This window comes from Homo sapiens, chromosome 9 (assembly GCF_000001405.40).
Source record: "Homo sapiens chromosome 9, GRCh38.p14 Primary Assembly".
Classification (NCBI taxonomy): domain Eukaryota; kingdom Metazoa; phylum Chordata; class Mammalia; order Primates; family Hominidae; genus Homo; species Homo sapiens.
In genome coordinates this window covers 102,646,874-102,662,135 of record NC_000009.12, presented here as the reverse complement: position 1 = coordinate 102,662,135, position 15,262 = coordinate 102,646,874, and the positions used below count along the sequence as shown (strand labels likewise).

Here is a 15,262-nt window from a genome sequence, read left to right as displayed (position 1 = left end):
TAATAACTTATTGTTAACCTTTACAGTGACATTCAGATAACAAAAATGGCTCAATTTCTTTGCTACTTGCATTCCTATTGCTATATTTCTCCAGACATTTGAGAGCCTATTGGGTTCTTATCTCAATGCAGGAAAACATCTTATGGCTTATGAAAAATGTGTGTTTTTGATAAGATTCTTGGTTTTCTCCATTAACTTGTTGCTATCATTCATGTTTAATATAAGATTCTTGACCCTATAATGCTAGAGATATTGTGAATAACTTATTAAACTATGCATAGTTGGTAGCGAATTTTTGTTTTCTTTTGATGTTCTTTATTCTTTCTATTTTCAATTATGAGGATATATTTCTTTAATAATAAAAGAAATTAGAATAATATTTTAACATAAAATGGGTTAAGAATATAACTACACAATGATAATGGAAAGAACACATGATTTGGAAATAAAGACAATGAATTTTAAAGTTACTACTTATCATTATTATTCCATTTGGTAAGCAAGTGGCCTACAAGAAATGTAATTATTAGGAGGTAGATAATTAATCATGAGTGATAGAGTAAATAACATCCCATAATAATCTAAAGTTATATCTTATAAACAGAAAATTGAAACATATAATTTCAACTGCTAAATAAATGTATCCAATTACATACTTGGAGACTGAGCAAAACAAAATAGTGTGAGGCTGTGTACTTGCTCAAACAATTATGAGGTGAATTTTGGCCAACATTATTTTACTGCCTCCTTTCATTCCTGTCATCTATATGCCTTATTCTAATGTGAACAACATGAGTCTTTACATCATTTGACTCAGGTGTCAGTGCAGAGATCATATCCAACAGTCCTCAAAATGTCTGGATATTCCTCTTTCATTGGTTATAGAAAATATAAAAATATATAATTTATATACTTTTCAAAAATTATATAAAATATGTGTCATTTGTATTCTTTTGATGTTCTTTATTCTTCCCATTTTCATTCATGTAAACCTCTTTTCAAAAGAAGGTTATATAGAAAATAACCTCTTTCCCTTTTGGAAAAAAAAAAATCAGGAAATTTCTTTTTTTTTTTTTTTTTTTTTGAGATGGAGTTTCACTCCTAACCCCCAGGCTGAGTGCAATGGTGTGATTTTGGCTCACTGCAACCTCCACCTCCCAGGTTCAAGTGATTCTCCTGTCTCAGCCTCCCAAATAGCTGGGATTACAGGTGCATGCCACCACGCCCAGCTAATTTTTATATTTTTAGTAGTGATGGGGTTTCACCATCTTGGCCAGGCTGGTCTTGAACTCCTAACTGCAGGTGATCCATCCGCCTTGGCCTCCCAAAGTGCTCAGATTATAGGTGTGAGCAACCATGCCTGGCCACTACAATACTTTAGGTTTGTACATTATAATCCTCAGAAGTGGCCTGAAGTAAGGTTTTGTTATGTTAGCATTTTCAGCAAGATATGTAGGAAGTCAAAAGTCATTGGCTGACTCCTACCTAACAAGCCCAGTTCTAGGGCAGCTTCTTCTACCATCAATATTGGCCTATGGAGGAAAGCCACTATTGATCTTTTCAAAGGTTTATATCATCTTCACCAGTACATTAGTTATTACCTTAATTAAACCAATTTTCTCTGAGCCATCTGCAAAACATAATCAGGTGGTGTATTCTCAAATTCCATTTAATTTACTAAAGGCATATGGAAGTTCTAAGGACCCATTACGACAACCTATTAGATTAGACTCTCTTTTCAAAAAGAGTTGAGTTTTCCATATTCGGTCTTTTGTCCTCACCAGCAAAACTCTCAAGATCCACTTTCATACTTGTTCCACTGGTTCCTACAATTTATTTGGTACTTAATTAGGCTGTGCATAGAGCTGTCCTTCATAAGCAGCCTAGAAGTATGAGGGTAGTGAGAGCAGATCTTAAGGAAAATCAGCTTTACATGGTGAGGGGCCTACCTCAGGTGAGCTCACAGCATGGTCTCCAGAAAAGAGTGGCTGGTCTTCTCCGGAAAGTGGAAAGTCATTGCTTCTTTCATTCTGGAGATTTAATAGTGAAATCTGGAGGATAAACGTTCTCAGGTTTACCCATTCAAATGTCACCATTCTGTTGCTCAGGTCTCGACAATTATTCATCATTGAGTGTTGTTTTAGACATAATATCAAAATTAGAAACTGGTCCTAAATTTCCGGCCAGGTTTCTCCGTGTTTTGCATTGGTAGTTGGCTTTCCTGACTATATTATATTTTTCAAGGTTCTTAACAGGCTTAAAAGAATTAAGACTATCCTAACCTGGCAAGTATTATTTCCTCAGTACCATGTAACATTATCACCACTGTATTTCTCTTTTTTTAACTTTTAACTTTTGTGGGTACATAGTAGGTGTACATATTTATGAGGTACATGAGATATTTTCGTACAGGCGTGCAAAGTGAAATAAGCACACCATGGAGAATGGGGGTATTTTTCCCTTCAAACGTTTATCATTTGAGTTACAAACAAACCAATTATACTCTTTAAGTTATTTAAAAATGTACAATTAAGTTATTATTGACTACAGTCACCCTGTTATGCTATCAGATAGTAGGTCTTATCTATTCTTTCTAATTTTTTTACCCATTTATCATCCCCACCTCCCCCTTATCCCCCACTACCCTTCCTAGCCTCTGATAACCATCCTTCTACTGTCTACATACATGAGTTTAATTGTTTTGATTTTTAGATCCTACATAAAACGAGAACATATGATGTTTGTCTTTCTGCACCTGGCTTATTTCACTTAGCATAACGTTCCATCTATAGTGCATTTCAATTAACCAAAGAAGACAACTTTAATAATTGGATACCACTGTATGACCTATGTTACTATCTACAACTTCCCACCAACAATGGGGTCCTTATGCCATCAGAACAATGGTTTAATACCAGAATCTCATCCTAATTATAGATGCATCTGTCTAAACCTCGCCATAGAAAGCCAAGTCTGACACAGAAGGTTTGTATATTATTACTTTATTAGGAGTATTATTCTAAGTAGTAGGGAAAAAGGACAAAGAGAATATAATGGGAAAATCAGGAGAGATGATGCAAGGTTTACATTACAGTTGACAGCTGAAATGTTCAACTGACTATTTAAAGTCATAGTATATCTTTCAAGAACTCATACAAACTAAATCAGAGAATAGCCCACTGTGGGAGAAGAGGGGAATAATTTTTTTCACTGATTTTAGTCTCTCATTGATCAAATAAACTCCTATGGAGCTTTAACTCCCCCTCATTTTTGGTTGTGCCTGGATGACTTTTAGGCAGAGAGCTGTGGTGTCCTATCTAGCCATATAAAAAGGAAAGGCCTAGATAAGAATTGAGGTGCCCAGAACTGTCAGTTGGATAGAGAGGATCTCTAGGGTATACCAGCAAGTCATATGAGAGACGAGGATCCATTATCGTAGGTGCTTCAGTCTGAATACAGCAGATGCAGAGACAACATGGTCTCATGATTATAGAAAGAGTACAAACTATAATAAAGCCAAATATGAAGATCTGGGGACAAGGTGCAGGATTGAATCTAGTACAAAAGTATACGGTAATTCTTCATCATCCAAGATATTTCTAGATCACGTCATGATTTTTAGACTATTCCTATGTCCAGGTGGTCACTTTAGTCACATGGCCTTTGTAACAAAGTATCACTCTACAACAAAAAATCACCCAATGTCTATTACTATTCAATTGAAATTAGAGCACTCACTCATTTCAGCTGTAGCATTTCACATTGTGATTAAAGTAATTTTCAAAGATTCTGGTTGTCCACTCCAGCCTGGAGTTATTTCTTGTGACCTTGTGCATTTTAAGAAGGTATTGCATCAGCTTAACACACTAGCTGAATTCATTTAGTTTTAACTTCCAAAATATTTAAACTTCTCTTTCTATACTGTGGAAAGGAAATCTGAAGACTTCACATTTTTCAATGTGGGTCACCTTTGAGGAAACCTTTTGTTTACATATATACTATAAGAACTAAACAATCTACTAAATAGTTCAATATAAATTGAAATCTATAACTGGTGCAACTATAATAATTGTCCTCTAACATTGATAGAGAATTTTCATATCTTACATGCAACTGGATAATTGATATTATTTTTTAAATGAGGAAGACTTAGTTTTTTTTCTGTTTGTTCATTTGTTTATTTTCTTTGTGCTCTTTAGGATATACTTGGACCAGACTATTTATAATTGTGAAAACAGTGAAAGAAGTATAAGTGAAACAGTATTGTTTTTGCAACAAAATTCCCTGGGGCAAGAAAATAGCAACATTTTTAAGCAGGGAAGGAAGAGTCTCAATATACAAAAGTGAAGGGACTTCAGTGAACAAGGAAGGCTCAGTATTGGATAGGGCATGAGAAAACTCCAGTTGTTCAAATTCCAACAGTTAAGTTTCTTCACAATTTTCCTTACCTAGCTTTATCTGACTTTTGTTTATGGCAGCAGGTAAGGATTTTAATTCTTCCGAAATTACAATTTGGCAATACCTCTCTCAAAGTTAAAGGTTTGTTCTTAACTATCTCAGCCCTATAGTTAAAACATGTGAGGAAATCTTTACAGTGTGTTAATAGAAGTCAACATAGGTATTTGATCTGGTCATTTATTTTCTTTTTATTCAATATTAGAGATACCTACTTCCCCCACAATTTCTAAATTATTTATATCCTTCATATCCTTTACACAGATATATTAGAGTGTAAATGTGAGTGTTCAAAGCTATTTACTGCCTTCTTCCTTGGTGACTAAACCCATATTTCTCTTTTTTTCCTGGAGGAAAAATGATGTCTTTATTGCATCATTGGTATCGGTCTGAATCCTTGGTGATCTGCAACAGAAAGAAAAACTGAAAGCATTAAGCAAAAAATGAGAGATTTATTTAAAAGAATACTGAACACTTAATTAGTAATAGGATATTAATCTTAGTAAATCAATAGAGTGAAAATAAAAATAAAGTACAATTACGTTTTATTAATGAGAGTCTAGTATTCACAGTACACAAGCTGTAGGACCTTGTCAATAACTCTGAACATCACTGTTCTTACTACCATGAATAAATTCTAACCACCCCATCACTCATTCCATATCCAAAAATCCAGGTAAGAGCATTTGATTGGCCATGTCAAGTTCACATTCTTGAGCTCTGAATAGGAGGTAGCAAATCTAGAAACCCTAGTTTCTTTTAGCTGCCATACTGAAAACAGACATAGTTGTCTTCATTGAAATTTTCAAGATTTATATACAAGGGGGAATTCTCTAATAGTAGTAAAATGGCTTGTATGCTGCATTTTTAAAAAGCCAGTGTTTATTGACTTTGCTTTAGATAAATTAGCAAACAATAAAATATTAATTTGGGGTCTATATTATTATCAGAAAAATATGTTTGTAAATGAACACTTCAAAAATATGATACATGGAAAACTGCTCTACAAGGTTTAATTTCAACTCTAATATGCAGCTATTTTCATTATTTATTCTGAAAATAGCAGAAATCTTCAAAATGCAATCTATTGCAAGGCAGTGTAAAATACATGCTTATGGTTTCATACTTAGTTCACACAAAACCATGATTAGTTTATTAAAATAGCATAGGCTGGGCATGGCAGTTCATGCCTGTAATCCCAGCACTTTGGTAGGCCAAGGCAGGCAGATCATCTGAGGTCAGGAGTTCAAGACCAACCTGGCTAATATGGTGAAACCCTGTTTCTACTAAACATACAAAAAATTAGCTGGGCATGGTGGCGCAGTCCTGTAATCCCAGCTACTCGGGAGGCTGCGGCAGGAGAATCGCTTGAACCCCGGAGGCGGGGGTTACAGTCAGCCAAGACTGGCCATTGCACTACAGCTTGGGCAACAAGCGAAACTCCGTCTCAAAATAAATAAATAAAAATAAAATAAAATAGCATAAAACCATATTCCCCCCCAAAATTTTACCAACCAACCAAATATATGTATATTAAAAAAATGTGTTTATATATAATATATATTTATATGTACTACATATTTTTCTATATTATATATAATATTATATATTATGTTATATAGTATATATGTTATATATTGTTATATATAAAACAATATATTTGTTATGTCATATATATAGTCATATATTTTATATTACATATATTTATATATAATATACAATGCAACACATCAACATACATGTATCCATTTACGTTTTTTGTCGTTGTTCTAGAAAGCAGCCACATTGAAAATAGAATGAAATGCCTATTTTACACAAGCCACACATGACAAATGCATTTTGCTGTGGTATATTAAACAAATAGATTCTAAATAAAACTGTAGGGAGAATAAGGAGGAAGTTCAATATGTAAAATACCTGCAGAGCTATAAATTTTGAGAACAAAATAGTATTTTTAAAAATATAAATTGTTTTACACAATTAGCTGTTTATTTAAGGAATATTAAAAGTACACATTAATGTCAAGGAAAATTGAAAACAATTTCACTAATCAATGTTTAAAAGTTACTAGAATATCAAAGCATTTCTTCCCAGTGAAAGAAAATACGGCTTAGATGGAACATTCTGAGACTCTTCCTGCCCAATCTTCCTTTGCTCCTCTTTTCTCATCACAGAGCTCGGACATGCGTCAAAGGCTAAAGTTCTTCTTGCTTCCTCTTGCTTCCTCCCATTTGTCATTCACGAATGTTTTACCAATAAATCTCTTTTATATCCATTTCTATCCTGGTGTCTGCTTTTTGGAGGACTCAGACTGATAGATGGTGATATGTTTTAGCTCTGTTCCCACCCAAATCTCATCTTGAATTGTAGCTCCCATAATTACCATGTGTTGTAGGAGGGACCTGGTGAGAGATAATTGAATCATGGGGGCGGTTTCCCCCACACTGTTCTCGTGGTAGTGAATAAGTCTCATGAGATCTGATGGTTTTATAAGGGGAAACCCCTTTCGTTTGGCTCTCATTCTCCCTTCCCTGCCGCCATATAGGATGTGACTTGCTCCTCCTAGCCTTCTGCCACGATTGTGCAGCCTCCTGAGCCACGTGAAACCGTGAGTCCATTAAACCTGTTTTTCTTTGCGAATTACTCAGTCTCGGGTATGTCTTTATTAGCAATGTGAAAACGGAGTAATACAGATGGTATTTTAGAGATGATCTTTACCTTCCCAATAATCTCCATCATTTCTCTCAAACCATTCCAATAAAATAATGGAAATAAAAACAATATCCTCTTCCTATTAAGAAAGTAAATTCAAGTCAAATTTTCTAGTCCCGTTCTCCAATGATACCTCCTTTCCTAATTCCTTATACAATGAGATGTTGGAACTGTAATTGCACGTAGACCATTATGTTTTTGTATTTATATACTGCCTGTTTGAAAACAGCAATACTGTTTAGGGAGAATAGCTATACACTTTCAGGTGAACTTTGGTGCCACATCTGTTGAGCTGGGCTATGTACAGTGGGAGAGTTATGAAGAATCTTTCTACCTTCCCTCAAGGTGGTTTCTGTGTCAGAAGAACTTACAGCACTCATTCTGAAATTTCACGTTAGTTCTGTCATCTGTAAGAGGAGGTTTTCCCAGTGATTTCTAAGTTGTGTATTTCCCCATAATTGGTAGTCTAAGTATTTGTACCTCGATCTTTTAACAGTTGTTCCTAGTTACAAGATACCACCACCTGGAAATAATCTTGATATCTAAAACCCAAACATAATGGATTCTCAAATGTTGTTTTGTTCAATGTTGTTTTGTTATAATAGCAATTAAAAAAATATATCCCCCTCTGGCACCACTGTCTGTATGTGATTTGTGCATTCTGCCCACACCTGCGTGGGTTGTCACCAGGTACTCCCATTTCCTCCCACATCCCAAAAATATGCACATTAGGCTAATTGGTATGCCTAAATTGTCCCAGCTGTAGTGTGTATGTCGTGTGGGTGTATGTGTGAGTGCACCCTGCAATGGGATGGCGTCCTGTCCAGGGCTGGCTCTCACCTTTCACCCTGCATGCCCAAATAAGCCCCAGCCAGTGGTCACCCAGAACCAGAATAATTGGGTAAATAATAATTGTACTTGTTTTTATTAATCTTTCTTAAATGTATGTGGAGCTCACATTTCAATGTTTAATATTAGAAGTGTTTTGGTCTTTACATATAAGTCTGGCAGTGTTTTAGTGACCAGAAATATGTCATATAAACCTAGCTCTTGTTTATATCAACTAACCTATGACAAAATTCGTTTCATTATGTCTTTTTGCTAAAAGTCAGTTTCCAAGAACCTGTTGATGATGTTAAATGAGGACTGGCTGTATTCACACGGACTCCTGTCAGAGCGTTTGTATTTCTAACCAGTGAATCACCTGGAGTTCTGCTGGTGGTATTAGAATGGCAGACTTAATTAGGATTTCTGACATTTGGACTCTGGAATTGGAGTTTATGTAAAGTATCTTTAGAATACCAATGCACATCAAAACTTGAAGGCGCCTCATTCATACTCTTGACTTTTACTGGCAAAGAGGGTCAGCTGAATTTACTTAAATTCATGGAAATGATCCAATCAGTTTTTGAGTCTCGTTGCTCCTTACCAAAGTATATCCTATTTTTCCTCAAATAAAATCTCTGTTCTTTAATCATTTTTCTTTCCCTCCTTTTCCCCCTCACACTTTTTTTAGCCTACACTGTTTAATTATCATTCTTTTTTTCTACAATAGGTATCACTCAGTGCAGCCATACACACAAAAAAGTTATCTGCTTCAAAATGTCAATAGTCCTGAAGTTGAGAAACCCTAGTTGCCATATCTGTGTTCAATCTGTTAATGGCAGAACCTGAGCCACGTGGCACCAAAGTTAGGTTATCTGTGGCAAATCTTTACAAGTCTGCAACAACCTCAATTCTTGCCTCCTCAGAAGAAAGAATTTGACTGAGGGACATAAGGCAGAAGAAGAGCAGGAGTGAACGTTTATTAAAAAGCTTTAGAGCAGGAATGAAAGGAAGTAAAGTATACCTGTAAGAGGGCCAAGTGGGAGACTTGAGACATCAAGTGCATGGTTTGACCTTTTGACTTGGGGTTTTATTAATATATGTAGGCACACTTCTTGGGTCTTGTGTTCCTTCTCCCCTGATTCTTCTCTTGGTGTGGGCTGTCCACATGCCCAGTGGCTGCTAGTGCTTGCAGAGGTAATATGCGCACTGTGTTTAACTGGAATTGTACGCTTGCTCACTTGAGGAGTACTTCCCTTACCAGTTGAATGTCCCTAGGAAGTCATATACCAGTTAATTTCTGCTATTTTGCCTCTTAATGTGTATGCTTGAGCCCGTTTGCCCAACTCCTGAGATCTTATCAGAAAGCTGCTGATCACCAGTTTCAGATGTTTTCTATCTGTTGGGAGACCGCCGTTCCCTTGCACCAGCTGTGACCGATTATTATTTTAGAGAGACAGTTAACAACCGCCTGACCATCATCTGATGGTCACCTGACATTCCTGTTAGGAAGAGGCCTCTCCTGCCCAGCTCATGTCTGCAGCTACCCACTGTAACAAAACCACATGGAAAAATGAGGTATTTTCTTTAAATTAACTCTTTTAAATTGTTGCTATTGATAATTAATCAAAGTTTAGAAGTCAGATTATTTGGTAATTTATAAATTGACTACTATTCTAGAGCAAAGATTTATTTTGAGTGTTTCTCAAACATTTGAAATGAGTTTTACATCTTCACTGTGAGTCTAAGGATTTAAATAAATTTCTAAATTATTTGATTCTGAGTTGTCATTGGATAGATAATGATTCCAACCCTTCAGGGTTATTGTGAGAAGAATGTGTAATGTGCATAAGGCACCTAGCACACAGTATATGATCAATAGTCACTGTCATTGTATCTTTTTATTTTAATCACTGCCATTGTTAAATATAAATGCTATAAAAATTGTTAGCATCCCAGGTGAAAGATATCAGGTAGGCTAAGGTCCTGAGTTTCAGAAGAGGTTTCATTTTAATTATGTAGGTTGTTGACAAACTGTGGCCAAGTGTTAAATATTACTTTTGTTTCTGTTCGCAGAATTGTATTAGTCCTTTATCTAAAACTTATATGACCTGATTTTATAGGTCTTCATTAGCTTGATTTTTATAATTACTTTTTAATTTAGAAAATGAAAGTAATGCAGCTTAATATTCCTGAAGTGCAAAAATGATGACAATAGTAGCTACTTTATAAGGTTACTGCGAGTATCATATCAGATAACATACGCAAAAGTACTGTGTGACTCTGACACATTTTCTACATTCAAGTCATCACAAGTTCAGACACTACTATTCCTAGATTTTTTGACAGATTTTAGATGATGTGTGGAAGACATACTGAGTAGAATTTCTTTCTACAATTTTTGAGTAAAAGTCTTGAATTACAATGGCAAACACATATATAAAAGAAAGTAAATCAAGGGATATTACTTGAGATTATGAATTTCAACAGATTTAATGACAGATAATTTTAAATTACTTTTGCAGGTTTTGTTTCCAAGTTCTTCATTGACCATACTTAAATCTTTGTAATTTCGTGCAGCTTTAGTCAGAACATTGCTCAGATGTATTTCAGTCACTGTACAAATTCCGTTGTATGTCAAAATCAAATGATAAATAACTTGTAAACCTTTTAGCCACAGATTTGCAGTTTATGCTGTCGTATGACTGTATGTGTGTGCGTGCTAGGAAACAATTTTTATTTCCTATAATTTATTTTGATAATTATTAAGATAGAACAAAATATCTCCAAATTTTGCAATGGACATTTTTGTATTCTGCTATGCTAATAACTACCTTATGAAACAACCACAGTCATATAATTTTGGAAAATATTTAGATGTTTGAAATTAAATGGGTTTCTTTAATTTAGGAGCTCTCAGAACATTTATTATGTTGATATGTGTGGTAAATATCAAAAAGATTTCTAGTGAACATAGGTCTTCTCCCCACAAAGTTCCTTCCACCTCTTTCACTTCGTGTTGTAAGTAGGTTCCGGCATCCTGTGTGCTCTGGTAGCCTAAGCTGATCATAGTCATCTTATCTTTCTTGTTTGAGTCATAGAACTAAGTCAATGATTGCATGATATTGCCTTTAGATAGACATTCATTTATAAATGGGCATGGGATTTAATTAAATATAATAGTTTCCTGAGGTCTTTGTGATTATTTTAATGCTAATAGCTCCCCAGGAAGAGATGCTATATACTTTTTGTTAATCCGTTTTTGAATCTTGTTCAGAAGTATGAGACATTTCTCTGACTACTAGCCTGAGGATAGAGGAAAAATCATAGAGAAGTAAACCAAAATAAATTCTTTAGAATTAATTCAACCTTGAAGCTTATCGTTGGACTTCCAGTGTTGTGAGATAATAAATTTCCTTATATATAATTCTATCTGATTTATGCTGACGGCTGCCAAAGATATTTTACCATTGTGATGTAAAAGGGTAATGGGTTCAAAGTTTTTGACAATGCAATATTGTTTAGACAACCCACTGATAGGGCAAATTTTTGAAAATCTAGTATAGGAAGAAAAGAGTGGTTTATATAGTGTCAGCTGATCTGGGTTTGAATGCTTTCTAATTCATTACTAATTTGATTTGGGAGATAATATAATCTATATATAATTAATATTTCTCTGTAATAAAATTATGATAATAAAACTCCCCATATTATCATAAAATTGTGATAAGGATAAGTGAAATATGTAAAATTACCAATAGTGCTTAACAAATAGTATGTGCTCACTACATTTCATCTGTTATAATCATTATTATTTTATCATAATTAAATATTGCTTACTATAACATATAATAAATATTAATCTGACCAGATCATTAAAACTATCAAGATACTTTTCTTGTGTCCTCATTTAATATATGCTGCTCACATTCCAGAAGAGTGAAGCATAACAATAAAAACAAACAAAAAAAGGTCCCTGAGGAATATTCTAAAGTCTTATAAAATTTAATGTTAATCAGTATTAAAAATTTCAATGGGCCTACTTTATGATAAGAAAATTCTCTTAAACTGATCTCTAGCTAATCTTCAGATATTGAACATAAAGTCATAGCATCATAAAATCTAATGTTAAAAAAGTCTTAATAGAAAGCTTAGAGGGCTTAGCCTGACTGGAGAAATAGACTCTTTAGTACCTCTTACAGAATCTTATTATTTTCAATGTAGAGCATTCACAGGCAATATATTTCCTTATTACACAGCTCTAAGTGTTTAAAAAAATTATTTTGAACTATCCTCTGAGGTTCACAGAGAAAAAAAACATAAATATGTGGCCTATAGGAATATCCAGCTGAACGCTTTCCATTTTTGAGACACCAGGCTAATCACTTTAAGTGCATTACTTTAGTTAAATATATCCAAAGCTCTATAAGATAGATATTATTATCATTTCTATTTTACAACTAAGGAAATGGGGATTTCAAGAGCCTCAAATTGCCATAAGGCAAACAGTTAGTAACTTGATTTTAACTCATGTATATGTGCATCTTAAGTATCTGATCTTAATTTACAACCAATGGTGCAATTCATAAATAATTAAACAAATATTTTGAATGCCATTTGAATATTTACTATTCGCTTCCTCGTGGGGAAAGGAACTATCACTTAGACTCAATTTAAATAAGTGACGAATAAAAATGGAAATTACAACTTGAACAACCTCACATAGCTAAGACACAGTGGAATTGATACTTTACAAAAAGTGATTAGAAACTATATTTCAAGACAAACATAACTTCAAAGAAACAGAAAACAAAAGGTAAAGAGATGAAAAATTAATTATATTAGTTGGTTAGTCAATCAGGTGATTACTCTTTTAATTACATCTAAACACAACTTTGAATATGATGTATCAATGATAATGTAAAGAATAGAAATTATTCTCTAAAATAATTTCAACCATTTAAATGGATATCTTTCCAAATAGTCAATGCTTTTAGTTAATTTTTAGTTAATTTTTTAGTATATCACACATACTACTGTTAGAATAAATTAATAGACTATTTTTGATATATTGTTTCACTGAATGTTTCCTACATGTAGCATCTCATTTAATTATAACAAACCATTTTACCAACAACTGCTATCCTGACATTTGCCATGTCATATATAATTATTAATGTTTTCAATTATAATATGTTCTACAATAAAAGAAAAGGAAGATCTGAGGAACTGTTTTATATAATAGATGTCTCAGAAAGATAACAGGTAAATGCAGTAAGTGATTCTGGATTAGCTCCAGGATTGGAAAAACAAAAGAAATTTAAAACACAATATTGGAACAATAAAATAAATTTGTATACAGGATCTAATATGGATAATAGCATGGCATTTATATTAAATATCTTGATTTTGATAGCTATATTGTGGTATATAATAGAAAAACCTCAATCTTAGTAAATACATAGTGAAGTACTAAGGAATAAATGAGTACTATGTTCCTAACTTACACTCAAATGATTTTAAAATATATACACAAAATCATATACTCTTAGAGTGAGGAAGAAAGTGAGAGAAGAGAGAAAACAGAAAAAAGAGAATAATGATAAATGGGAAACTTTATAATTGGTGGCTCTGGATAAAGGATATATGATTTATATACACTATTTTTGTAACTTTTCTATAAGTCTAAAATTATATCAATAATTTACATGTGCACACACACACATACAATGAGTTACTCTTGGTATCTTATTATGTATAAAATTAAGCTATCAATGCCTTGCTTCTTACAATATTGAGAGAATTAAATAAAATAACCTATCTAGTGAAATAGTGTTATGTGTTGAAATAGCAAGTGTTCTGTATGTTTATTTTACAATTAAATAAATAATGATTGAATAAGTAATTTATCAAAGAGAACATTGCCAGAAAATAGCACAGCTATGCCTTAGAATGCATGTTTACCAATCTCATAACCAGTGTAATTATTTTAAAATTTAATTTGATGCTGGAAAATCTGTACACAAAAAGAGTGATATAATTCATTGAAGAGAATGAGTTAATCATTTTGTGATGTTCTGCACATTTTGCTTGATTTATTGCTGTCTAGGTTATTCCAAATAGAATTAGTAAATAATGACAGGTTTCTCAATATTTTAAATACTTTCGTTAATTCACTAGAACCAATTTTGAAACAATTACCTGAAGATACTACTAGCATTGTGTCATACTTTCCTCCATTTAATGGCATATGTAAAAATAAGAAACAAAACAAAAATGAGAATAAATAAAACTGACCAACATAATCTAAAATTCTAGCATGAAATATTTTACTATTATTCTAATTCCTGGTTTTAATTAAAATGAATTTTGTAAGTAAGTTATCTGCAGTATAAGAATACTATTTTGTATATAACCAGTCATTTTTATATCTAAAATATAAATATACTTCTTGTTATCTAGTTCCAGTCTATATTAAATTTTCTCAGATACATGTGCATGCATGTATGTGTTCATGTGTGTATCATAATGTTTTTCAGTTTTTATAGGATTACTCTACTTTTTCTCATTACATTTTTCACAGGATGGATTTTTCCTAACTGAACAATTTACTGATGTAAACCACACCTTTTCATTAGCATGTTGAAAACAAATTCTTTGAATCAGAGAAAGATAATAAATATTAAATATGTCAGTTTAGGACAAAAAAAAACAAACTAAAAGAGAAACCAAGGAAAATTAGATATATGAGATCACATACAAAAGCAGTGAAATTGTAAAGTGTAAGTTTGATATTATTAAGACTTAAATATACCTTAATTTGCAATTAATCCTTTATAAGAATGAAATATCTATCATATGCTTCACAATCAATATAGAATATGAAGAAATAACATAACTCAATAAATAAGGGAATAAAGCTTCTAATGCAGACATGAGTGAAAAATGTGATATTTTGTGGGAAAAATGTAAAGTAGAAATCGTGTGTATTAGTCAGGTTTCTCTTAGAAGGACAGAACTAATATATATATATATATATATATATATATATATATATATATATATATGGGAATTTATTAAGTATTAACTTACATGATCAATAGGTCCTATAATAGGCTGCCTGCAAGCTGAGGAGCAAGGAGAGCCAGTCCAAGTCTAGAAGTCTAAGAACTTGGAGTCTGATATTCCAGGGCAGGAAGCATCCAGCATGGGAGAAAGACATAGGCTGGAAGGCTAGGCCTGTCTCTCCTTTTCACGTTTTTCTGCCTGG

General features: G+C 33.2%; 1 long non-coding RNA gene across 1 annotated transcript in view; it reads right to left on the bottom strand.

Annotated features, from left to right (window-relative positions):
• Positions 1-4,626: 4,626 nt before the first annotated feature.
• The window catches only part of LINC00587 (long intergenic non-protein coding RNA 587), a 137,873-nt gene continuing 127,237 nt past the window's right edge, over positions 4,627-15,262 (bottom strand). Inside the window, exon 5 of the long non-coding RNA NR_103830.1 lies at positions 4,627-4,860. This is a non-coding gene — a long non-coding RNA (long intergenic non-protein coding RNA 587). The remainder of the gene's footprint in view (positions 4,861-15,262) is intronic.